The 27,957-nt window shown below is 37.5% G+C and overlaps 1 protein-coding gene across 6 annotated transcripts in view; it reads right to left on the bottom strand.

Annotated features, from left to right (window-relative positions):
• The window catches only part of CDS1 (CDP-diacylglycerol synthase 1), a 68,208-nt gene that overhangs the window by 12,967 nt on the left and 27,284 nt on the right, over window positions 1-27,957 (bottom strand). For all 6 annotated transcript variants that reach the window (NM_001263.4, XM_005262687.4, XM_017007650.3 and 3 more), the window contains exons 4-8: window positions 20,707-20,804; window positions 18,835-18,974; window positions 6,491-6,549; window positions 4,429-4,511; window positions 3,017-3,104 (exon numbers count right to left, since the gene is read on the bottom strand). In NM_001263.4, the coding sequence (NP_001254.2) occupies window positions 3,017-3,104; window positions 4,429-4,511; window positions 6,491-6,549; window positions 18,835-18,974; window positions 20,707-20,804 (468 nt within the window). The remainder of the gene's footprint in view (window positions 1-3,016; window positions 3,105-4,428; window positions 4,512-6,490; window positions 6,550-18,834; window positions 18,975-20,706; window positions 20,805-27,957) is intronic.

The following is a 27,957-nucleotide window of genomic DNA, read 5'->3' as shown; positions in this document are numbered from 1 at the left end:
TTTGCTCAAGTATTGACATATCCTCTCTTTTTTCACAATCTATGTCCATTTCCAAGAAGAAAGGAACATGCTGCACTTCAAAGAAGAGATATTGTTTGTGTTGGATTCAGGCTATTGCTGCCCAGTCAATGGACCATTCATGGAAAGAAATCTGGAAAAAAATCTAGAAGTTAGTGGTGTTGGGGCAGGAGGAAAAGATTCAGGAGCAAAAAGTGAAAGTTGTTGCTCAGGGGAGATAAAGACTGTGATGTGTGGGAGGATTTGGTCATCAGGTCATTAATGAGGGACAGAAACCAAATATCAGAATAAAGTCTCTGAAGTATTAAAATGGGTTATGGGTTAACCTATAGGAGCTCTTCATAGACTTCTTGTCCTGATATTCATAAAGCCCCAAACCAAAACAGTTGGCAGAAATGGTTTCTTGACAAATCTGATAACAATTCTGCCACAGAGAAGGGACAGACACACCTTCTCCTAGGGTAATTCACTATCACTGCCATGAAGTAGGAGCAGACTCAAATTCAAAAGTGCCTGCTGATTATTGTAAAGATAGCTTATCAAATTAAATTGATGCATATCATATCGATTTAGGGGTTAACTGTTCAATTATCTAAGTATATTATACAATTAATCCAGCCTGATAAATTCACTAGAAGGCTGTGTTCAAAATCAGTTGCTAATATTCTTCCACAGCTATAACAGCCTTTTTGAAGGCTTCTGATATGGTTTGGATCTGTGTCTCCACCCAAATGTCACGTCCACTTGTAATCCTCAGTGTCGGAGGTGGGGCCTGGTGGGAAGTGACTGGGTCAGGGAGGGGGTTTCTAATGGTTAAGCACCATCCCCCTATTGCTGTCCCATGAGTTCTCATGATATCTGGTTGTTGAAAAGTCTGTGGCACCTCCTCACTCTCCCTCTTCCTCCTGCTCTGACCATATAAGATGTGCCTGCTTCCCCTTCCGCCAAGATCATAAGTTTCCTGAGGCCTCCCCAGCCATGCTTCCTGTACAGCTTGCAGAACCATAAGCCAATTAAAGCTCTGGCATTTCTTTATAGCAGTGTGAGAATGAACTAATACAGCTTCCCAAGCCGAAAACTTCTCAGTCTGGGTAGAACTCTTGAATACGTAAATCATGTATTCAAGCTTTAGAAACTCTGGAGCAGCTTTAGAAACGTTTTAAAAATATACAGCTTGCTTACCAGTATCCTTATACAGCTCAGCCCAACACTCTCTGTGTGCTGATGCTTTCAGCAGGTGCTCTCTGTGAGCTCCTCCCCAAGAGGGGAAGAGTTTACAGAGGTTTTTGGAAGAACAGGCAGTCCACAAATTCCTCTGGTAATACTAAACTACCCTCATACCACTCTGAACAAACAGAAGGCTTTATATCTGAACAATTGTCTCAGTCCTTCCAAAACTGCATTCATATAACAATATCAAAACAGCCAGGTAATAATATGTCTGTGAGAACATTATTAAAAACTTTGCCCAATAATGTGAAATGTGTGAATCTTATCTGAAACTCCAACATGAAAAGCTCTTTTAGGCCGGGTGTGGTGGCTCACGCCTGTAATCCCAGCACTTTCAGAGGCCGAGGTAGGTAGATCATTCGAGGTCAGGAGTTCTAGACCAGCCTGGCCAACATGGTGAAACCCTGTCTCTACTAAAAATACTAAAATTAACCAGGCATGGTGGCAGCCGCCTGTAATCCCAGATACTTGGGAGGCTGAGGCAGGAGAATCACTTGAACCCAGGAGGCGGAGGTTGCAGTGAACCCAGATTGCGCCACTGCACTACAGACTGGGTGACAGGGCGAGACTTTGTCTCCAAAAACGAATAAAAACTAAACAAAAATAAAGAAGAGCTCTTTTAGAAGAAATCAGTTCTAGAAAATGATTTGATTTCCATGAAGAATTAGTTTATTTCTTCTCCCAAATGAGAACTATGTAATTTAGTTCATTTCCTTCTTTACCATTGCCCATAAATAGAACCAATTCTATAGCAAAACAACATGGTCTACTCATGTGTATTTTCCTTTCCCTTTCATTATTACTTGTATTTTATTAGTATTTTATTGTAGGGCCCCAAAATCTTCTTTTGGTATGAGTTTGGATATGAAAAGTCACACAAATGGATATGAGGATGTGAAGGTGTATTATATAATCTCTTCTTTGAGAAAGTTTGGTAAAGGAGGGGACAGGTAAGGCGACAGGTTGAAGGGAGAGGAGAGTCAAGGAAAAGGCTTGTGTATAGGCTTGCTGGAAAGGAGGATAAAGAAGAACTGCACCAATGGCCGAGAGAAAAAACCACAGAGCCCAGGGGCGGTGGCTCACGCCTTTAATCCCAGTACTTTGGGAGGCTGAAATGGGCAGACTGCTTGAGCCTAGGAGTTTGGGACAAGCCTGAACAACATGGCAAGACTCTGTCTCTACCAAAAATACAAAAATTAGCCGGGTGTGGTGGCATGCACCTGAAGCCCCAGCTACTCGGGAGGCTGAGGTGGGAAGATTGCTAGAGCCTGGGAGGTGGAAGCTGCAGTGAGCCATGGTAGCACCACTGTACTCCAGCCTGGGTGGCAAAGCAAGACCCCATCTTCAAAAAAAAAAAGGAAAGAAAAGAAACCACATAAAGATAAAATGAAGATGAAAAGGGAGGGAGGGAGGGAGGGAGGGAAGGAGGGAAGGAAGGAAGGAAGGAAGGAAGGAAGGAAGGAAGGAAGGAAGGAAGGAAGGAAGGAAGGAAGGCAGGCAGGCAGGCAGGCAGGCAGGCAGGCAGGCAGGCAGGCAGGCAGGCAGACTGATGGAGTCATGCCCTTCCTGAGGAGCCAACAGAAGAGCTGATGAAGAACCCAGATGGAAGTACTGAGAAATATGGTTTGCTGCTTCTGCACCATGCAGCTAAGGAAAATCAAAGCACCTCAAAAATAAAAAATGCACAACAGCACAGTTGTTGGAAATGTTCTCCAGTGGCTAATCTTTAAGGTTACATAGTGGCTTGCTTATAAAATTTTTCCATTACCTTAATTAATGGAGTTCTCCCAAAAAAAAATCCAAAAAGGTAAGCAGTTATGTCATTGCAGATAACACTTGATATTGGAACAAGGAACCTGTTTTTAAAAAAAAAAAAAAAAGTCAGCAGAAAAAAGTTCACCTGAGTAAGTGGCAGATATTCGGAAAGGTTATGATTCATAATGAACCATCAGAATAACCCTTTGGATTGCACTGCAGCCTACCCAGAACATAACACTTGCCAAAACAGTAGAAATGATAAATATCAACCAAATTTGCCCACTTACCAATTTAAACAGAGCAAAATCTAAAAATAAACTAGCATGCTAGGAAAATATTAAATTATTGATTTCTACAGTTATGGATGTTTTCATTTTAGTTTTATGAGGAACATGTTACAATAAAAAATAAAAGGCAGACTGAAAGCTAATCTTAAGAAAACCAGCCTTTTAATATGAAAATGAGTCATTTCTTTAGACAGAACATAATCTGATAAATTTATATCAAGCTCTTAATACATATTCTCAATTATTAATTTTAATTCTATCTTAGCTTATGATTTCAGTAAACCCTACTGAATGTACAGAACCTACTTACTTCAGTAACTGCCCCATCAATGAAAAGTCTGTACAATACATGAAAGACAATCTTAAAATGATTCCAATTACTTTACACACGCACATACACACAGAGACACACACACACAAAGACACAACCACACCCTTGGTAAAAAGACATAAAGCTGTCAAGGGAATACAATTTATCTTGACAAAACCCATCAACTGTAAAAGATTTTAATTAATGAGTTTTAAATGAGTGGGGGAAAAATACAGTCAGATTTTTTTTTAATCTTAAGCTTTTTCTCCATTCCAACTAATTTTTAAGTAATAAGTTTTATAATTTTTACCTAACAAAAATGCTTTCTGAATATGCAAGCCACTGCCATAGAGCAATTAACTTCTACAATCTGGAAACCCACTCCTACACAGGAGCAAAGTAGAAAACCTACCCAACTTTCACCTAGAAAAACATGCATTTCTTCACAGTAGTTACTAGTAGGCAAAGTTTTATATTTTTTTGCATTCTATGTAAATAATATCTTAATAAATATTATATTTAAAGTCTGTCTTTTGTGAAAAGTTACACTAGGATTTATTAACACCTGAAAATGTAATTAATTTTTTGGGTCTTTTATGGGAACTTCCTATATTTGGAACTTGAATAAGAATGGTATCCAGTTGTTAATGAAGCATTTTGTCTTTAGTTGTCAAAGAGTAAGCAAAACTCAGTAAGATAGTTTAATGGAATATAAGAACAACAAACAGTACATTTTAGTAGAAATCTGTAAGACACTATCCAACGTTAAAGAACTATAAAAGTGCTATGACATACTTATAAAGCAGCATAATTCTGTTGCCTTACCATATCATGCCTTCAAACAGATTTTGGATGACAAGGTGTGACTGAGTGACAGTTATCAGTAAAGTGACATGAGTCCATGCGAACTGTTAATAGCCCAACAATACAAAAATTAGTGAACACAACTGATCAGTGCAGCTGAAGAAGCAACAGCGATTTGAAACCCAAATTTCTACCATGACTTTTGGTCAAAATGTACAAGTTAGAGTCATATAAAATAAAAACACTGTTAGTAAATTATGTTTGTTTTGTTGCCTACTGGAACCTTAAAATAATGAAAACATTTAACAAAGTAACCTTAATTTATATATAAATAGAATTCTAATTATATAGTACTAACTTTTAAAACATATAAAAAATAAACCATTATCTTGAATCATTAGATTTAAGTGATGATGAGAGATTTCTGTTGCTGGTTTAACAACATTTAAAGGGGAACATTTTACTCTGGCTGCATTCTGCAGTTATTAACAAAATGCTAAAAAATTCCTTTTCTTTCAGAGTTTATTACGGTAACTTTTTCCCATAAAGAGTTATTTCCAACTTCAAATGATTCAAACCAGCAGGGTTCAATTGCCCTTAAACTCTATCTTTCATACTTGAAGGGTGATCGTGACAGGTCTGTTCAATGACAGTATTCAATTTCAAATTTTTAAAGACCTTTGTGTTTTGCCAATTCTATCTAGCCTGAGAGATGGCCACTTTTAATATAATCAATATGGTTTCCATGTACGAGTCTTATGATTTTGATTGAAATTCATAAAATTACTTTTAAAAATTCTTAAGATTTTGATTTATTCTCCCTGGACCCCCACCCTTGAGATAGGGTCTCACTCTGTCACCCAGGCTGGAGTGCAGTGGTGTGATCACAGCTCACTGCAGCCTTGACCTCCCAGGTTCAAGTGATCCTCCTGCCTCAGCCTCCCCAGTAGCTGGGACTACAGGTGTGTGCCACCACGCCCGGTTAATTTTCATATTCTTTGTAGAAATGGGGTATTGCCAGGTTGCCCAGACTGGTCTCAAACTCCTGGGCTCAAGGTATCCGCCTGCCTTGGCCTCCCAAAGTGTTGCGATTACAGGCATGAGCCATCGGCGCTTGGCCTTTTGATTTATTCTTAATAAACCTGTTTCCCATTTAAGCAACCATATTATATTGGTTGCTCTATTTTATTCTATTTTTATCTGCTTGAAAGATCCAATTCTCTTTTACTCTGATTGCTTAAAAATGCATTAATTAAATTTTTTCCAATAGATGCCATTTACATTTTCACTGGATATTCTACTATTTTTACTTGTCTTGTTTCTATATAAAATTCACTAAGAATTTTACTCTTCATGCTCAGATTCCCTTAAATTAGAAATACAAGAAACACAACAATTTCCCAGCAATTATGTTCAGCAGAATGTCTTAATGGAGAAAAGCTAAGCATAAAGAACAGAAAATATATTCCAAGTCCAAAATAAGCCTCACTATCACATGAATTTACAGATCTGAATACTACATTGCATTGTACAGTTGTACTAGCTACAGTTTAAGAAAATAAAAAAAGTTCATATGTAAAGTGATACATTTCTTAAGACAGGCTTTGGTACATTGAACAAAATATCTTATGCCAAAAAGAATTACACAATTCTATGACTAACCATAACCACCAAGATAATACATGCTCTGCTGCTTTATGCGCACGCCAAGTGCAAGTAAACATAGTTACTTTCATAGAACAATATGGTAGATGTTTCTCAGACATAGTAACTGTCCAGGAGACTAAGAAAATTCTTCAAATTTCTACAAATTTAAGGAACCCAAAAACTTTAATTTTACACCATTTGAAAATATTCAAAGAAAAAGTTTTTAGTAAACTTTGAAAACAGTTAAAATTTTAAAATCCTCACAAACTTCTCAACTTTAATAGTTTATATCTAATGGTCATCTGAAATCCAAGTATCCCTCACATTCATGCAAAACAACAGCTAGCAGATTCGACTGTATCTTCTCACTACAGAAAAAAAAAAGTTAAGGGTTTTTATCACAGATAATGACTAAGGAATAATAGTTAATACACACCATATAAAACTGCAGACGATAATGTTTCTTCACCAAACTCAGTACAAACATGCAGAAACCTGTTCAAGAACAAAAAACATGTGCTCGTTGTACAATTTGGTACAAAGGGTTAAGATTCCTTGAGCCCAAATAAACCAATTTGCTGTATCACAGCTAGGCATATTTTAGCTACTTACTCAGATGCCATCTCTCCTACTATCTTACATTAAGCATTTAAAGTAAGTTTCTTGAGGGAAACAATCTTGTACTCTCCAAAGTGCCTAATACATTCCATGGCACAAATTCAATAAACATCCTCTGCATTAATTCAATTAATTAGTCCCCTGCTAATATGTGGGCATGGAAAACAGATCTTAAATTTAAATTAAATAGTATTTATTTGCTATAACAATGCATCAAGTGTATGTACAGAATGTTTTCAATCTCTACATAATAGAAAAATTAATAATAACTATTATAACAGCTAAAGTCTATTGAATGCTTACTCTTTCTAGGCTCTTATCTAAGCATTTTATCTTTAATGATGATCCTTTATTACCAACTGATTTAATCCTTTCAAAATTCCTATAATATAGGTACTCATTTTTAGCTCCATTTTACAGATGAGGAAAAATGCACAAAGGGCTTTAATAATTTACTGAGGATCACAGGGCTAGAAAATAAACACTAAAATCCTATTGACCCTTAAGAGTCACGTGGTTCCATGAACTGAGATCAGCAAAATTCAGGTTAAGAACAATTTGCAATTTCTCAAAAGCATACAATAATTATAGTAAAATGTAATACTCTTAATAATGTAAAGATTTACAAACAGTATATGTATTTATGTTTACATTTTACAAATTTATTACAATGATAATTTATTAAATTCTAACCAATTAAGTGAAATCTAGTAATCATATACTAAAATAATGGGAGGCAATATGAATCACTTCTTGCCAAAAATACCAGTAAACGTCTAAAGATAGGTTTATTTTACAGAGGTGGATATTGAAAATATATAAACCAAATTTAATTTCAGATAAATGGCTATGTATGCATTCTATTCTGCAACATCCTTTTTTTTTCTTTTTTGAGTCAAGTGTCGCTCTATGGCTCAGCCTGGAATGCAGTGGCACAATCACAGCTCACTGCAGCCTTGAACTCCTGGCCTCAAGCGATCCTCCCACCTTGGTCTTCCAAAGTATCAAGATTACAGGTGTGAGCCACTGTACCCAGCCTCTGCAGTATCTTTAAAGAGTGAGTTCTCCAAGAGAGAAATTGAATTTTCAGTTGATCAATTTCTGTATAAATACTAGACTTTGTACATCCAAGTTATACTTATCAAGGCAATTCTACCAGTAGAGTAAACAAGGGTATTACTACTCTCACCAAGCAAAGAATCAAACAGCAGCTGCCTTTCGCTACTTTTGGTGATCAATTTGAAATGCCAAAGCATAAAGGACCATGACAAAATGAAGAGAATGAATACTGACCCCAATCCTATCTCACCTCCTATTTGTCATCTATGAGGTAATCCAACTAACTGGCCTGCACAAGCAATAGGGACACATTTTCTGAGTGGAGGCACAAATGAAAGCCATTATGTCACTTTATTGAGAGAAAGGAAAGAGAGAAAGAATGAGAGAGAGAGAGATACTAAAACATGAAATTAATGGCATCAAAATTACCAATTGTATGAAAGATTCCTTTAAAAATTCCTGCTTTTGAGTTTTTCTTCTACAGCAGGTAGACTTATCTTGAAGCTCAAGTAATAACATAATTTCTATGCTGTTTTTGTGCCACTGATCCGTGGTTAAAGGCAAACGTGGACTGGACTCGGTTCAAAGCCAATGGGTAAGGGGCAAAGCAGAGACACAAGACAGAAACCATGTTTTCTGTCCAAACAGACCCCTTGACTCTCCCAGCACAGCCTTGGGAACTTCTCAATATCATTAACTATGAATTATCTACTCACAAATACTACTCCAAAATACATGATTTTCTCTTTCTTGAAATGATAACACCATTCACCCTTACTTACATTTCTTCAAACACAATTACCAGTAGAATCATTTAACATTTTCCTAATGGACATTTTATCCAGGACAACCTTGGCAACTCACGTTTACATAATCCAATTTCACCTATGGGATACAATTGTCTGACTCCTAGATACAGTAAGATAATACAGTTCTCTGACTTAGAGGAAGGGGGAGGTATAAAGTGTTTTCCTAGCATAGCTGAGGCTAAATATAGTCATCTCTCAGTATCCCTGGGTGATTGGTTGCAGGATCCCCAAAGGACAAAAATCCATGGATGCTCAAGTCCCTTATATAAAATGGTATAGTATTTGCATATAACCTACTTACATCCTCCTGTGTATCTTAAATCATTTCTAGATTACTTATAATTCCTAATACAATGTAAATTCTATATAAATAATTGTTAGACTGTATTTTTCAGGGGATAATGACAAGAAACAAGCCTATACATGTTCAATAAAGACACAACCATCCATTGTGGTTTTTTTTTTTTTTTCAGAGTATTTTCAATCCACAGTTGGTTGACTCCAGAGATGCAAAACCCATGGATATAGGAGGGCCAACTGTGTATTATTTTTTAAAGAAAAACATTGTAAAAGAGAAACATATGAACTTAATCTTTCTCATTCACAACTATATGGATATATTAACATTTTATGTTTAAATACTTAAAAATACATTTATATGTTAATAAATCTGTGGAAACGGTCACTTTTTGTACAATTGGATCCATAGGTTTTTTCCCTGATTAACAAAGAATGCTTGTATAACTATTTCTAAATTAAAATCACAGAATGTGTTGTAGTAGTATAAATAAAAGTACTGAAAAGGCCTCCTAATATATAGTTCTTTATATAAAAGTTATACTTATCATCATTTATCTACATAGTATTGTGCCTGGTGTTCTCAATACAAAGATACGTACATCTCGTTGCCCAGCATCAAAGAGTTCTCCAGTCATTAAGCAGAACCAGTTACCCAACAAACTAAAGAGAGGTGTATTCAAAAATAACAAGAGAATCCAGGTGCAGTGTCCCATGCCTGTAATCCCAACACCTTGGGAGGCCAAGGAAGGAGGACTGCTTGAGGCCATGAGTTCAAGACCAGCCTGTGCAACACAGCAGGATCCTGTCTCTATGAAATAAAAGTAAAAATTAGCTGAGCAGGACAGCACACACCTGCAGTCCCAGCTACTTGAAAGGCTGAGGCTGGAGGATCACTTGAGCCCAGGAGTTTGAGGCTGCAGTGAGCTATGATCAAGCTACTATACTCCAGCCTGGACCACAAAGCAAGTCACCATCTCTTTAAAAATTTCTTTAAAAAGGAAGAAGAAGAGGATGAAGATTTTTAAGGGGGTCAGGAAAAGTAAAGGAAAAAACACAAGACACCGAAAAGCCCAATAGATGAGACAGAGGGAATTTCAGAAAAATAGATAAAAAAATATTTATCAAGCACCTTCGATATGCCAGAAACAAGATGCAAAAATGAATAAGATAGGCACTGCCATTCAGGAGCTCTTGCTCTTGTTGAAGACACCAAAAACAAAGAAAAAATAAAGTTGTTTTTAAAATTTACCATTGATGATTAGTCAAAATTTAGTAAACACATATAGCCCTTAATTCAAAAAGCAGACAGTAGGATGGGCCCAAGATTGAATACTAAAGCTTCTGACTCATCCCCCATTCTTCCGCTTGGTTATATTCTTCATTATACTTGCCTAAACCATCAAAACTTTCTAGCATCAAATTAAATAAATTCAAAATCACACTGCATTGTGTGCCTTTATTCAGACACCAGGCTATAACTGAGTTGTTCTGAAAAAGTTTTAAATGAATATGCATCGTGGAGATTACCATACAAACCAATCATCATATTAGTTAACATTTTAAAAAGTTTTCTATTAATCTGAATGGTTAGTCTAAGGTTTAGAACCAATACTAGCATGTGTATAGTGTTTAGCAGTCTTTAATTCAGAAATTTTAAGTAGTTTTGGAGATACAGTCCTTTGTGAATTATTTGTGACACTTTTCTAAAGATTTCATTAATATCCTCTGATATAAAAGATACTCAGGATGTTTGGGGAAAACATCTTAATTATGCATTAATTTTGGCTATAACTTAGTTTTATATGTCCATCAATTTTCTTGGACTCAAAGCATTATATTCAAGTCATATTATCTCCATAAGAACTTTAAAGAAATCAAAATAGCTATGCATGCACAAATACAAGCAAAAAATAATTTATTAAATATAATATGCACATCACTATAGTTGGATAAAGAAATGTAAGGTGATGATATTAAGGGTCAAACACCTTAAGTCTGTTTACACATCACTGCTAACCATATAATTGCATGACTGCTCTGGTTTCTAAAGAGCCCCAATTCCAAATCACCAAGTTGATGAGTTCTTTTTAATATATATCTAGACTCTAGAGAAAACGTTTGTTTTATTATTTTTAGTCTCCCTGATTTTCTCTGCTATCAGTCAAACTCATTTTGCAACAAAATTATCTAAATGTCAATATGACTTCTAGGTCCTAGTCAGTGAGACATTTTGTATAATATTAAACAAGTCATTTAATTTCATGGACCTCCATGAGGGGGTCAGAATTGGAGATACCTACATTTTATTTAAATAAAATTCAATGTCAATGAAGTAATTTGAACTGTCTCTGCTTTTTAAATCTGGTAAGACATACATTTTCTGAAGTCATTTGACCACTGTAATAGAACTAAAATTTTCACAGGGCACTTGGAATATTGTTTAACAGAAAGACTTGGATTCCAAAGATTTCTACAACATAATTTGAAAGAAAGGTACAAATATCTCAATGTTAGCATACTTTCTATTTCCATAGTCCTGTTTCAAAGTCTAACTCCATTTGCTAGACTAAGCTCACAAATGTTGCTAAGCACTTCAAGAGTAGCCACTAAGGCCTCAAGACTCAGCAAACAAAACACTGATACTAAGAAAATATCATTAAGAAGCACTGTGTGTGGATGTGCATGTTCTCAGCCTCTTAATCGTTTATCCAACAAATACATAGTCGGACCCTCAATGCCAGGCCTGCACTGCGCTCTGGGAATTAAATAAACAAGAGAGGTACACCATGGGTGCTTTTGGTCTAACCGAGCCATTTTTAGGCAACGCTTAAAATGATAATAGACATATAGTATTCTATGCCTGTTTTATACTGGAAGTTACATCATTTAACTGAGTAGCTCCTAGCTTACTATGAGGTTGCATTTTTAAAGTATATCTGTAGAGCTGGGCGTGGTAATACACGCCTGTAATCCCAGCTACCAAGGAGTCTGAGGCAGAAGGGTAAGTTGAGTCCAGGAATTCAAGACCAGCCTGGGAAAATAGTGAGATCCTGTCTCAAAATAACAAACAAAAAGTACATTTGTGTGACTGTAATGATGTCAATATCCTGGTGTGATGTACTATAATTTTGCAAAATACTATCATTGGTGATAACTGAGCAAAGTGTAAAAAGATCTATTATTTCTTACAACTGCATGTGAATATGCAATTATTGCAACAAAGAAGTGCATTTTAAGCCAATAACTTGTGATATATAAACAACTTTTCATAGACTGTCATAAAATAGCAGTTGGGTTCTACGATCAGCCTGTGGTATTTTTATTTTCTATGTTTTTTTTGTTTGTTTGTTTGTTTTTTTTGAAATGGAGTTTCGCTCTTGTTGCCCAGGCTGGAGTGGAATGGCATGATCTCGGCTCACCGCAACCTCCACCTCCTGGGTTCAAGGGATTCCCCTGCGTCAGCCTCCCGAGTAGCTGGGATTACAGGCATGCACCACCACGCCCGGCTAATTTTGTATTTTTAGTAGAGATGGGGTTTCTCCATTTTGGTCAGGCTGGTCTTGAACTCTTGACCTCACGTGATCCACCCACCTCAGCCTCCCAAAGTGCTAGGATTACAGGCATGAGCCACCGCGCCCGGCCTATTTTCTAACTTATTACTCATTTAGTATTAACTACAAACCAGAAGAGTTTAGGTCATTACTACATTTAGTGTGGATTACAGTAGTAACTTCCTATCTAGTCTGCCTGATCATGTCTCCCAACCTACTTCATTTAATTACAAATCTGGTTATATCATTTCTTAGCTTAAAATCCTCCAATGTTTTCCCAGATATAAAGTCCAAACCTTTCCCATGACATACAGATTTTCTTAAGATGTGGCTCCTACCTACCTTCCCTATCTTCAATGCCTCCATGAACCCAAAACATGCAATCCTTTCTCATTCTCATGCCTGCACAGCTGTTCCTCCGCCTGGAATGGACTTTTCTACTATACGATACCTGGCAACTGCCTGCTTGCTCTTTCCTTTTCATGAAACCTGTCATCTCTTCTCAAAGGCCTTCCATGGCCTTCCTTCCTCTTCTTCATGCTCCTGACAGGACTTGTTCACATTTCAGCAATGAACTAGAAGACTCACATCTTACCAATTTCAAGACCCTGGAAAGCACACAATCACTTCATCTCCCTTTATATCCTCAACATCATTCACAGTATCTAGCTTTTGGAAAACACTGAAATGTTTGCTCTAAGAATGACTTTGATGACTTTCAGTAAGTTTCTGTGATTCTAAGAGTGTAAAATAAGAAATGGTAAAACATGTCTATGGCAGAAATAAGTATACGGTTAGAAAAATGAAGAAATACCAGGCCAGACATGGTGGCTCATGCCCATAATCCCAGCACTTTTGGAGATCAAGGCAGGAGGATCACTTGATCTCAGGAGTTAGACACCAGCCTGAGCAACATAGTGAAACTCCATCTCTACTAAAAATACAAAAATTAGCCAGGCACAGTAGCGCATGCCTGTAGTCCCAGCTACTTGGGAGGCTGAGGCATGAGAATCACCTGAACCCAGGAGGCAGAGGTTGCCATGAGCCGAGATCGCGCCACTGCACTCCAGCCTGGGCAATGGAGTGAGACTGTGTTTCAAAAAAAAAAGACACAACATTGATTGTATTTTATAGAAGTAGAGTCCAAAAAGTCATATATGGAACAAAGAATTACTAAAAAGGGGCTGGTTAGGAGGCTATGAAAGACAAAATATATAAAAAGAAACAACAAAGAAAATGAACTACACTATCGGTCCACACTCAATTGAGATGTTATTCTCAAGCATAAATTATAGCAAAACCAAAGGGGAAAACAGTAATCACCTTATATGCTGACATTCTACCTCTCAGCTATTGCTGTATATCAATATAGATGTAACTGCAGATATGGATACAATGATAGATGTAGATGTGCCAATATAAATCCATCTATAAGCTATTAATATATGAAGTGGAAAAATGGTACAGAAGAGATACTCTTACTTGCATAAGAAAAAGGGAGGGGGGATATAAACATAAAAGCTTGAATACTCAGACAATTTCTGGAATAACAGTAGTAAGCCTCCAGATATCGTAAGTAAGGCACTGAGGTGGAGGAGGATTTCATGGAATACTCCTTTCTAGTCTAAATTTTTATCATGGGCATATATTTTCATTTAAAAAAAAAAACTAGTTTTTTTTTTTTTGTTTGTTTTTTTTTTTTTGAGACAGAGTCTTGCTCTGTCTCCCAGGCTGGAGTGCAGTGGCAGGATCTTGGCTCACTGCAAGTTCCGCCACCCAGGTTCATGCCATTCTCCCGCCTCAGCCTCCCAAGTAGCTGGGACTATAGGCGCCCACCACCACGCCCAGCTAATTTTTTTTTGTATTTTTAGTAGAGACGGGGTTCCACCGTGTTAGCCAGGATGGTCTCGATTTCCTGACCTTGTGATCCGCCTGCCTCGGCCTCTCAAAGTGCTGGGATTATAGGTGTGAGCCACTGCGCCCAGCAAAAAAAACTAGTTTAGGCCTCTTGAAACACCTGGCTCCTGGCATGCTCCCCATTCAGAACCCGGGCTGCCTGTCCCATCCAAGCCACATGGAGGGGCCACAGGTCAGTGCCCAAGTCAGCAAGCGGCACGAACTGCAGTCATGAAAAGGAGCCATCTTTGATGTCCAGCCCACTCAAGACATGAGCACCCGCCTCTGTCTCATGGCAACCACGTGAGAGGCCTGGGGTTAGAACGGCTAAGTTAAGCCCGCCAATCCGCAGGACTGTGAGCAAAAATAACAAATTGTTCTAAGCCAAGGGAAAAATAAAACTAGTTAAGGCTTTTTGTTTTTAAATGATAGTTTGTATTCCATCCTGGTATCCCTGCAAAATAACATTAAAATAAATTAAGGGGAAGCCCCACAAGAACAGAGAAAACTGAAGAAATGTGAAGGAGAAAAGAAGAAACATGTCTACAAAATTTGGAAGCTAGAAAACAGATAGAAAACTGTTAGTAGGCCTGAGAAATTACAGGTGCCTAAACGTATTTTCTACAGAAACTAAGGAGAAAGGGCCCGGTGGAAGGCAAGACTGAGGCCTAGGCTTCTGACCTGGATTATTAAGTAAAAGTCCAACAATAAGTGTGAGCCCTAGCCAAAGCAATCAGCTGTAAGAATAGACTAAAGATATCTTTAGAAATGCACAAACATAAGACAACTACCTTCTACACATCATTTCATAAGAAACTACAGCAGGCCATGCTTCAGCAAAGTGAGGGTGTTAACTAAGAGATGGAAGACTGGGATGGAAGAAACCGGCTCAAATCATGAGGACAGCTCAGCAGTGGGCCCATATGCAGCCAGCTCACACAGGAACAGGAATGCAGAGGTCTCTGGCACAGAAGTCTCCATGAAAAAAGGCAATTGATATACTATCTGACTTGTGTAAACATCTGAAAATACTACCAACAGACATGGGTCAAACCTAAAGGAAAAATTAAGGATTTCTACACTGAAATTAGCAAATATGGGAAAGAGAAGGTGAGGCAGTTCCTCAAGTTCGGGAAAAACAAAAAGTTGTAAAAGAAGGAAATGTAATCATAGATACTATTTGGCTCTACAGGAAGTGATATTTTAGGTACCTACTTAATGCTAACTATTACTATAAAAAAACTGAATATGAAGAAGTAAAGTAGGTTATAACAGGAAGTGAATAGATAATGCCTAAAGTAAACTAAGAAACAGGCCTATTACTTACAGAAAAGGAAAAACTCTCAAAGCGGTGGGGTGCAGGGTTGCTGTTTACATCATAATTCTTTTGAAATTCAGTTTGAAAACTAATGTGCAGATATTAATGATAGAAATGATTTATGTTTTAATTAACCACAATTGTTCTTTTATTATTATTATTATTATTTTGAGATGGAGTCTCGCTCTGTCGCCCAGGCTGGAGTGCAGCGGCATGATTTCAGCTCACTGCAGCTTCTGCCTCCCAGGTTACAGCGATTCTCTTGCCTCAGCCTCCCAGATAGCTGGGATTACAGGCACCTGCCACCGCACCCGGCTAATTTTTTTTTGTATTTTTAGTAGAGATCGGGTTTCGCCATGTTGGCCAGGCTGGTCTCAAACTCCTGACCTCAAGGGATCCACCTGCCTCAGCCTCCCAAAGTGCTGGGATTACAGGTGTGAGCCACCGCACCTGGCCCGCAGTTGTTTTAAATAATTACAAGAATAATCACATGAAACAAAAGTGTTGGGTTCAATAACAGAAGATACCATAGACTCTTTGACTGTTGGTATTATCATCAAAACTCAAAATGCCAGAAGTCTTGTTACCTTAAATATAAACTGAGAAGGTACTACATTCTTCTCTCCCATAATAAAAAAAGAATCCATTCCAGAATCTACCTTACCTTTAACAAAATAAATCAAGCTTACTGGTTTGGTAAATGAGAGAAAATACTCAAAGTTTCTACAAAGAATACCAAGAAAATGCACAAATGTGCTTTGATAAACACAGAATCAGAGTCAAGTGTTTTACTCTCCAAAATTTTAGTATGGTCTTCTTAGCTGATAACAATCATAATCTCTCCATGATCATAATCCTTCCAACTGGTCAGAATTTAAAATGGACCAACTACCATCATATGAGTACCAGTAAAAGAGTAGAAATTTTTCAATACCTATTTCTAGGAATGTACTTTCTATAGATATAGCAGTGAAAAGTTTTTTTAAATGAAGGAACAAATTTGGAAAGCTGAACTGAACAATAAACCTGAATGAAAGGCTGGGTGCAGTGGCTTGTGCCTGTAATCCCAGCACTTTGGGAGGCCAAGGCGGAAGGATCCCTTGAGCCCAGGAGTTCGAGACCAGCCTGGGCCACATGGGGAGACCTAATCTCTGGGAAAATAAAATGAAATTTAAAATTTTAAAAAGTAACAAAAAACCTGAATGTAAAAGGTGGAAAATTATTCGAAAATGTATTCCTCCTCATTACATAAAAACAAGTTCTCTGAAAATTCCCATTACCATTTCAGATTGTATTTCACTTTCTGGCTTTTTAGAATTAGAAGGCCTAGGAACTGAAGGAGCTGAGGGGCACCAAGAAGAACATCATAACTATTTAATGAAATAGCATACTTCTACAGGACTGGACATGCTTCCCCACATACTCTGTATATTTTTAAAGAGAAATGGAAAAGAATTACCCAGTTTCTAAGATTGTACCAGGAGAAAAATTCATTTATTGGGAAACTCCTAGGAGCTAAAACAATAACTAGTAACAGCTAAGGTGAAAACTCACAAACAAACTTCATGTCCTTCTTTTAAAGTGAAAATAACAATAAAAAAAATTTAAGTAGTGCCAGGTACTATTCTAAGTGCTTTACAAAGAAACTGAAGCACAGAGAAATTAATTAAATATCTCATTTTTGTTTGTTTGTTTGCTTTTTGAGATGGAGGTTCCCTCTTGTTGCCCAGGCTGGAGTGCAATGGTGTGATCTCGGCTCACCGCAACCTCCGCCTCCCGGGTTCAAGCGATTCTCCCGCCTCAACCTCCTAAGTAGCTGGGATTACAAGCATGCACCACCATGCCCGGCTAATTCTGTATTTTTAGTAGAGACGGGGTTTCTCCATGTTGGTCAGGCTGGTCTCGAACTCCCAAACTCAGGTGATCCGTGCACCTTGGCCTCCCAAAGTGCTGGGATTACAGGCATGAGCCACCACGCCCAGCCCAAATATCTCACTGTTTACTCAACCAGTAATTGGTAGGTCCAGAATTCAAATGAGCAATCTGGCTTTTAAAAAGCACATTTAAAAAAATCAATTGCTTAGGGGTTTTTATGATCTGTAAAATTTCATAGAAAAGATATCTGTAAATTCTAACTTTATCTTAAGAATCTAATTTTTAATTTAAAAATTACAAAAACATGTGGCATAGCATACTATAAACAGTTGCATATATTATAAACTATGTCTAAAAAACTAATTAGGCCAGGCGCGGTGGCTCATGCCTGTAATCCCAGCACTTTGGGAGGCTGAGGCAGGCGAATCACGAGGTCAGGAGATTGAGACCATCCTGGCTAACACGGTGAAACCCCGTCTCTACTAAAAATACAAAAAATTAGTCGGGTGTGGTGGCGGGGGCCTGTAGTCCCAGCTACTCGGGAGGCTGAGGCAGGAGTATGGCGTGGACCTGGGAGGTGGAACTTGCAGTGAGCTGAGATCACACCACTGCACTCCACCCTGGGCGACAGAGTGAGACTCCATCTCAAAAAAAAAAAAAAAAAAAAACAACTAATTACCCTGATTAGTTCTACATGAAAAAGCTCTATTTCCTAGGGACAAATAAAGCAATATATATGTGAAAGTTTTTTCATAAATTAAATTTGGTTAATAATTTTTATTTACTTAAAAGTTTTTTTACTACAATTTGCAAAGAAAATTTTCAAACATATGGAGTGATTCTTTCTTTTTTTTTTTTTTTTTTAGATAAGAGTTTTGCCCAGGCTGGAGTGCAATGGCGTGATCTCAGCTCACGGCAACCTCTGCCTCCCAGGTTCAAGCGATTCTCCTGCCTCAGCCTCCTGAGTAGCTGAAATTATAGGCATGTGCCACTATGCCCGTCTAATTCTGTATTTTTAGTAGAGACGGACTTTCTTCATGTTGGTCAGGCTGGTCTCAAACTCCCGACTTCAGATGTTCCACCTGCCTCAGCCTTCCAAAGTGCTGGGATTACAGGAGTGAGCCACCGCACCCGGCCTGGAGTGATTCTTAACAAGCACTTTTTAAACCCACTATAAGGGAGTAATTGCTATTTAAGAACATGATGAAAGAAATAGCTTTATACACAAGAAACAATGAAAAAGAGAGGCTGGAATAAAATTTAACCAAAAAATTACTAATTAAAATAACAGAAATAAAAATAAACATGGAAAATATGTTAACTATATATCAATACAGAATATTCCTTAACTTACCTGCCAGATAGAGGGCAAATGATATAAATCTATGGTAGCGAATGAGGAACTGAAGTTGTTCTTCTCTTTGAACAAATGTAGCAAAATAATCAGCTACAGTCTCTCCATAGAAAAAGTAGTTTACACACAATAGAAAGTACCTATAATTTAAAAACAATTAGCTTTTCTATATTTGAAGCTTTCCTTCCCCTCAAACTCAACAAAATTATTTTCTACATTCTGATGACACAAAGATCAAAACAAAGTTCAGAAGACCAATTCAAGATATATTTTACCAAAATGCTATTTTCCTGTTTTAAACTTAATTTCAAATTTATTGATTAGCAAAAATTTACCAAACATAGTTCATACCTTTATTTAGCTGAAAATCTAATGCCAGAGATAATTAGGAAACAATGTAGAAAATACTACACACACACAATCCCTCACCCTTGGGAGGCGGGAGCAGTGTGTGTGTGTGTGTGTGTGTGTGTGTGTGTGTGTGTGTGTATAAATTTAATACTTTGTGTGTATGTATAATGTGTGTATGTTTGTGTGTGTGTATGATTTTAATACTTTGTATGTATGTATAATGTGTGGGTGTATATATTGAGGGATTAAGTTCATAATGAAAATTAACTCGTAACTACTCACAGCTCTAATGCTTTTTAATAGTAGAAGTCCTAAGACAAATCCCCACCTGTCCTCAGGAAGATTAGGAGGGAAAGAAAGAAGAGGTAATTCAACCTGTCTCCCCACTGCCCTGCACACACTGGTATCTCCCCTCTTCTAATGCTCCTAGTGGACTCCAGATGAGCAGGGATGCTTCCTCTGTAAGGCAATCAAGGCCTAACCTGGTCTACCAATCCAACTATTTACCCACTGTCCGCTAATCAATACCATCTGCTCAGAAGGGCCAGGAATGTCTCATCAACGGTAGTATAAGTACATCTGTCCCACATCTAGAAACTGATGGGTGCTACATCCCCAACTAGAAAACTCTTCTTTATCCAAAACTTGTCTTCATTTCAAATACCAGTTTATCTTTTACCTCTTGTTTGACACCTTCTACAATCACTGGAGCCCATCCTTATTTATCTTCTCTTCTTAATAATACTTAGAATCAATACTGCATGGTTTTACATTTAATTATTCTCCAATTACTTTATCTATCTAACATTTCCTGTATACTTTGCCACTCGTGAAGAAACCTGCTAGAAGGAAAAATCAGCTATCACCGAAATCAAGACACTTCTTTTTGACTATTCTAAACCCCATCTGTTTTAAAAAGACACTGACTCCCTGGTTGATATTTATCAACTATATTAAAAAGGATGGCCACTTGGGTTAAATATGAACTATAATGTTATCATGTTTCCTAGTCAAGGTTCTGAGAGCAATGATTTATATATGAAAAGTTTTAAAAGATATAAAATTTTAAATGTTAATATCATTATGGTGATTTTGTTACTAACTTTATGTGCATTTGTATATATACAATATGTTGTATGTTATCATGTCAACTGAGAGGAAATGAAGGAAAATGAAGGAAAAGATTATATGTAAATATTTTGCTAAAATTATTATTGTAAAGGATACAAAAATGTTTCCAATACAATGTTTAGTTTTTTATTAAAAAAAGGACAAGAATGGTGTATATATTCACATATTAGATATCTCTACAAAGACTAAAATATGAGATCTGAAAAAAGTTGTATTGGAGTAGGAAAGACAAAGGTGATCTTTTCAAAATTCAATTACATTATTTTTATTTATCTTTCTCTAGAATCAATCTATAGGGTAAATTGAGTGGATACTGACTGATCAAGACGCTTCCTTTACAAACTTCAGAAATTAACTTTTCATATCTGAAATAGTTTCAAGCTTACTTACCAACTTAGTGTTCTAAACCATGGTAGATCATAAGAATGATAGACTCTATAACCTATAGTGATAATTTCATGGAAGCATTTCACTTGGATGCCCAGAACCTGAAACCAAGAGAAAACATTAACATACATTTCTCAATGTTTACATTTGTGCTTAATCATTCAATAAAGCAGTTTGTCATATGTATTTAAAAAATCTTAATCTACCAATGTTTAATTATGCTAAATGTCAGTAAAAAATGCAATATTCCATGTCTCTAAAATCAAGTGATAACTCAAAGGGGTAGGCAAAATAATGTTTTACTCAAAAAGGCTTGGAAGATCCTTCCTGGGGTGGGGAATGGCAATGGAGTTTAAAGTTTGAGGGATATAGTCTGGTTGGCCGCAGTTGACTAGGATTTATCCCTCATTACTACTTCATTCTTGAGATTGTCCTTGTCAAGATGGAGAATCTTTTTGTCCAACCTGTCCATTATGTTTCTTGAGATACCCTAAGAAAATCATATATGAAAGTTTGCTTGCACATATTTATTTGTAACCATGCATTGTTATACCTGCAAATAATAAAGATACTGTCAGGACAAATAGTTAGAACACTTTCTAGCCAGTCACCCTGGAATGGCCTTTTCATCCTCCCAGTTGTGTCAACTCTCCCATAGCCAGCTACTGGCTGCTCAATCTAAGCTGGGCTACCTTAGCAAAGTATAAGCAACCTTCCACATTTGCAGCCACTTTGGCCAGTCAACTGAGTTTATGCATTTCTGTTTACACAGTGTCCTGATTGCACACCTATTAAACGGGTTTAGATTTATAAATCCCTTTTTGATGTTCTATTTTGTAGTCCTTCAAACTGCTGCATTCAGCAACCTGGGTGAAGGTAATTTCTCAAGATGTAGCATCACACCCGGTGCTTGACCTGTCGATTCCAAGACTCAAAGAGCAAATGGCAAGTTGAACACTTATTATCATGAATTAAGAGGTAAAAATCTTTGTGAATACAGCAGACTAGCTTTTCAGCGTCTAGAGAACACACCCCAAGGGCTTGTTTTTATACTGTCCTTGAGCTAAGAATGGATTTTTATATTTTTTAAAGAGTTATTTAAAAATAAAATATTATGTGACTGAAACATATGCAGCTCCTTAAAGCCTAAAATATTACTATCTGGTCCTTTAACAGAAAAAGCTTACCAAACTCTGTCAGAGGATATATTCCGGGATTTCTTTTTAAGATTTCCACAAGTTAGTTTTCCAAAACCTACCATTCAGGGTATTTTTAAGTTATTTTTTCCCATTATACTGATTACGTGTCCAATCACATACTTTAAAAAGTAAATGTGTCTTTCCAGCCACATGATAAAGAAAAGTACGTCAAACCATAAACAGTACTTGTAGGCAAAAGTCATAAATGTGTTATAAAGACAGGAGGAAATCTAAGTGTCCTTCTTCAAATAACCTTTGTATATAATATCAAGTCATTTCTAACAAAAATACAGAACGGAGACAATGTTTAGTATTAAGATAAAACGGTAAAGCAAAGTTAGTCAGATCCAAAGGGCTTTTAAAATATCATACTGATGTAATTTCTATGAACATATTTGCTAGGGTACATCCACTGGCACTATAAATTGTATTTCTTTTACTGAGAGGAGAGAACAAAAGTATTTTTAATAACACGCATTATATTTATATGATCATCAACTATAGCTTGCAAGGACAATTAATATGGAACTTCTAGGAAAACAGAAAACAAAAGGTTCCAAATAGTAGTGTTGAAATCCTTCAACTATATGTGTATCTTCCAGGACTGGAGGATTACACAGAAATTAATACTCCACACCATCAACACTGGTAGCAATGTACACTCATAGGACTCTGTTGGCCCAATTAATGTTTCAAGAACCTTAAAAACAAGTCAGTATTTAAGTGTCTACTCTTTACTAGTTACTGAGGACTTATAGAAATAACATAGGGCATCTGTTCACAGAGAGGTACAGTCTCTCAGGGAGGAAACACGACTACAACCCATGTGAAATAGGCAAATGGACGTGTGTAGAGGCAGACACACCTGTGGCAGGGGGAGGGGGTGGGCAACGGCAGAGCCAGAGGAGGAGGATCTGCAGAGTCACCACCTGTAGAGGGAATGGGGCGTATTAAGGGAACTACTAGGAGGGTGGAGTTGCTGGAAGACAAAGGTGGGGGTAAGAAGGAGAGAGAGATGAGCCTGGTCCTGGAATCCTAGGAAACAGCAGGAAGCAGTGCACCGAGGAGTTGAAGCAACATGACTGGACATGAGAGTTTGGGAGAATAAGGTGGAAACAGTGGGCTGGGGCGGTGACAAGAGTCAAGGCAGTCAGGAGGCAAGATGCCACTTCACTATCCAGGTGAAGTGGTAGCGGAGTAGAGAAGAAGACAGGAGAGAAGTATAGGGGGTAGAACTGACTAGACATGGTGCGTGAGGAAATTGAGGGGCTAAGGGAGAAAAGGGAACACAAAATAACACCAAGGAAGGCTTGGGAAAGTAGACAATATGAAAGAATTATACAAATTGGGTCAACTGTCATATTCAACTAAGATCAGAGTTGAGGGGCCAAGCGGAAAAAGCACTCAGGGCACACAGCACCTGCTCCACGAATTATCCAAAGCCCAGCTTCTGAAACAGCTGGCCATACCGTCAGACCAGTTTTACTTGGTGGCTGCTGAAACAACAATGTGCCATGACTCTAAGACTAATTTTACCTGCCACCACTGTCACTCACCAGTCAGAGCCTGCCAACTCCCCAAAAGTGCACTAGTGCTAATGGGCTTTCTTTCAAAACAATATGTAGCATTTCTCTCTTTAATAAAACTCCCAACCTTCTCTTTATTCTTTAGACATATCAAAGACCACCCTGGTCTGGGTATATGCTCTGAAGTGCAATTTTGTTTTTTTAAAAAATATATATACATTCCCAAATAAAATGCTTTGCATAGAGATTTGTCTGTGTATTGTTATTTAACTTTGACAACAGATTTACTCTGGATGGCCGAGGTATGGACTAGAAGTTCAGATCTGGTCATTTTGAGTATGAACTATATTGAGTACCTATGGGTTATTCAAATAAGTGTCTATTTTCACTTTGCAAATTTTTTCTAAGAAAATACTCCCACATATAAAGTTAGAGCATATTTATGTTCTAATATGTTCATGATAGTGTTATTCACAATAAAAAAAAGAACATAACCTGAATGTCTACAAATAACACAATGATTTGAATAACTTTAAATGATGCACTGAATGAATTCAGATATTCATTCACTGTAAGTGAATAACTCCATGATGAACTACATTCCATCAAGCAGACAATCTAGTAAAGCTAATGATTATAAAGACCACAGAACAACACAAAACTTTTTTTTAAAAGTTTGGTTTTTTTAGAGATAGGGTTGTGCCATATTATCCAGGCTGGACTCAGACTGGAATTTCAGGGCTCAAGTGATCCTCCTGCCTCAGCCTCTCGAATAGCTGAGACTACAGGTGTGTGCCACCGCACCTGGCCACAAAATTTTTGATGTGATATTTAGCTTAAAAAGCAGGATGCACAATGTTAGTCACATTATTATTATGACCACAGTTTTAAAAACATATAAATTAAGCAAAAAGTGATGAAATAAAATGTAACACTACTAACTGCATTTTGGTGGTTAACAATAGGGTTGGAATGATTATTTTTAATTATCTATTTTCCAAAGTAATTTGATCACACGTATACAACTCTCATAATAGGAAAAAGTAAACACACTATTTAAAAGTAAACTACATAGCACGAATTAAAAGTTAATGACAACAGTTTCCAAGAAGGCAGGGGGGGAAAAAACCTCTTTCAATATCTTCTATATGTTCACATCTGCCTTTAAATCAAAACATGCTTTAGTAACTCCATCACTTAGAAAGTATGATTCTAAGCTGTGAATACAATTTAAAAACTACAAATAGAAGGCCTTTTAAGGAACATGGGTATGCATTCCATATTAAAATAGTACCTGTAATTTCCTAGAAGTTTTGTTTGTTTGTTTTTTGAGACAAAGTCTCACTCTGTCGCCCAGGCTGGAGTGCAGTGGCGCGATCTCGGCTCACTGAAACCTCTGCCTCTTGGGTTCAAGTGATTCTCTTGCCTCAGCCACCTGAGTAGCTAGGACTACAGGTGTGCGCCACCACATCCAGCTAATTTTTTGTATTTTGAGTAGAGACAGGGTTTCACCATGTTGGCCAGGCTGGTCTTGAACTTCTGACCTCAAGCAATCTGCCCGCCTTACCCTCCCAAAGTGCTGAGATTACAGGCGTGAGCCACTGTGCCCGACCTCCTAGAAGTTTTTAATAAAACTATATTGAATTAGTCATTTTTGAGTGCTGACATTATAAGGCAACTGCAAGCTAGATACAACATGTCCTTCTCAAAATATAAATGATCTAGTTAAGAATAGGAATAGAAACAAGGTTTTAAAACACATAAAGTAATATCAATTGAGTACCAACTATATGTGTGAATCATCCATATTCTCTTAACACAAATATCATAAAAACATAATATATATATATATATCTATGCATGTATGTGTATGTAATAAACTTAAATAACCAATAACAGTTCAAACCTACTTTACTTAGATCTTTAATATTCTTTTTTTTTTTTTTTTTTTGAGACAGGATCTCACTCTGTCACCCAGACTGGAGTGCCGTGGTGTGATCTCAGCTCACTGCAACCTCCACCTCCCAGGATCAAGCGATTCTCCTGCCTCAGCCTCCCAAGTAGCTCAGATTACAGGCACACGCCTCTACCACCCGGCTAATTTTTGTATTTTTAAAAGAGACGAGGTTTCACCATTTTGGCCAGGCTGGTCTCAAACTGACCTCAAATGATCTACCTGCCTCGGCCTCCCAAGGTGCTGAGATTACAGGCGTCAGCCACCGCACCTGGCCAGATCTTTAATACTCTTATTTTCTTCTTTAATTAAACTCACCAATTGAAGCAAATAACTAGTAATAAGATCATATTTTCCTTTCATAGTAGAAAAAAATAAACAAAAAAACTCAAGTACCGTAGGCACACTTATGGTTCTCTTAAAAAATCAGAATCCAAATGTATGCATGCATGTCTTTAAAACTGTCTTGAATTTTGTCTTAAAGAGTGGTTAGAAAATAGTTTTTATCCACAAATTCTTGCCCTAGTTATTATACTCAACAGTTCAGTTTGGAGAAAAATGTAAATCACAGGGGAACCCACCAAACCTGCCGAAGTCACTGTATCTAGGATACTGGTGGTTTCTGATATCTTAGATCAACATTTTCTTCTTACTCCTTACCTTTCCCAAATAAATTCTTCTTAATTCTTAATTCCAAATAAATTCTCCCAAAATACTTCTCCTTACTGCTTCCCAAATAAAACCCAAACTTCTCCACATAGCAAGGCCCTCCAGAATCTGATCTCTAATTATTTTTCAGCCCTGTGCTCAAGGAAAAAGCACCTTTTTCTGCCACCGAGGAAGCACCGTGAGCAAAGGTCCAAGTGGCACACTTCTAGCCACTTGGACCTTTGCTCACAGTGCTGCCTCCACCCTGATACACTGCCCAAAATCATACTCAAAGGTCCCTTCACCCACAAAGACTTGTGGAACTCCTTGCTCTCACTTGGTCCCTTCTTCCTCAAGCCTGCCCACTCACCACCTAGCATTGAAAAGTGCTCTGCACACACTTGCTTCTTAAATGCCCAAGTCCCAGGGCCAATGGTGATCATTTTAGCCCTTGGCACATTCAGCGACAGAAGACTGGGAGCTGGGGGCCTCTTCCTGGAATCAAATGCAGACAATTTCCCACGCCTGCCCACTTGGCTTTCAAGCTCCGCTTCCTCTGCTCTCACATTAAGTCTGTCCTATTTATTATCCATTTTTCCTTTGTGAGAAAAAGCACTTTAAGATCTTAGCAAATTAGCAGAAAAAGAAATTAACTTCTTATTCATTTTCATTACTTGATTTCCCCAAGGAAGTGAAAAATTAATGAGAGGACAAAAAGAGAAGTGAAAGAGGCTTTGAGGTGCTTATAAAAGCCACTTTAAGTGGCTTCAAGAGCTGATGGAATTTTTTTTCATCATGTCTAATTTCACATCAAAACTTATTCTTTTATAAAATAAAAGGAAAACCATATCATATAGCTCATAAGCTTATGAGCTATGAATAGAATTGAATATGGAGGGAGATTGGCAAAATGGATAAACACATTTCTAAGTGGGCAAGAGAAATCAGAGATGAAGGAGATGAGTACATAAGAAGAACCTGGATTAACTGAAAAGGAATGAGAAAAAGTAATAACAATGATAATACCAATAAAGAAGGCCACAGGGCACCCCGGAGGGCAGGCTCTCACTGTGTGCTGTCAAACCATGCTCAGCACTGCCTAAGTGCTTGATGAATGCATTGAACAAATGCATTTCTCCTCGGTTCCAACACTTGTGGGCTTCAAATGTTTCATGCTTTAAATATCTGGGCTTTTGCCCACAGAAATCCTCTGCCTGTGATGGTCCTCCCCAAGACTCCATCCTTTACCTTGTTGATTCCCACTCAACCTTCAGATTGCAGCCCACGTGCTTGGCACTGTGCCTCTGGAAAGTCTCCCAGCTCCGTCTTTGCTCTCTTAGTATTATTCTTTTTCTCAAATGCTTATTGTAGTTTGTAATTATATATAGTCATGTGTTGCTTAACAAGGGGGTATGTTCTGAGAAATGCATCGTTAGGCAATTTCGTTGTTGTGCCAACATCATAGAGTATACTTACAAAACCTAGATGGTATGGCCTCTTATACATCTAGTCTATATGGTATAGCCTATTGGTCCTAGGCTATAAATTTGTACAACATGTTACTTTACTGAATACCGTTGGCAACTGGAATAAAATCATGAGGCAACAGGAATTTTTTGGCTCCATTATAATCTTATAGGACCTCTGTCGTATAGTTGTCTATCACTGACCAAAATGTCATCAGGTGGCATCTCACTGTAAATACATAATCAGCTCTTTAAAGTGCAGATAGTATGCTCCATGAGGGCAGAGACAGGTACATTTTTCTCAGTACCACTGTATCATCCCTAGAACTAACGTAATGCCTGGCATATAGCAGGCATCTTGGAACCGTTTGTTACACGAATGAATGAAGGGTTTAAATACTTGTTTGGCTTCCTGACTTACTGAGCTTCCCACACACACCAAAATCCAAAACTCCCAGAAT

This window comes from Homo sapiens, chromosome 4 (genome assembly GCF_000001405.40).
Source record: "Homo sapiens chromosome 4, GRCh38.p14 Primary Assembly".
Lineage (NCBI taxonomy): Eukaryota > Metazoa > Chordata > Mammalia > Primates > Hominidae > Homo > Homo sapiens.
Note: the sequence above shows the minus strand (reverse complement) of the source record. Positions and strands in the feature narration are given on the sequence as shown.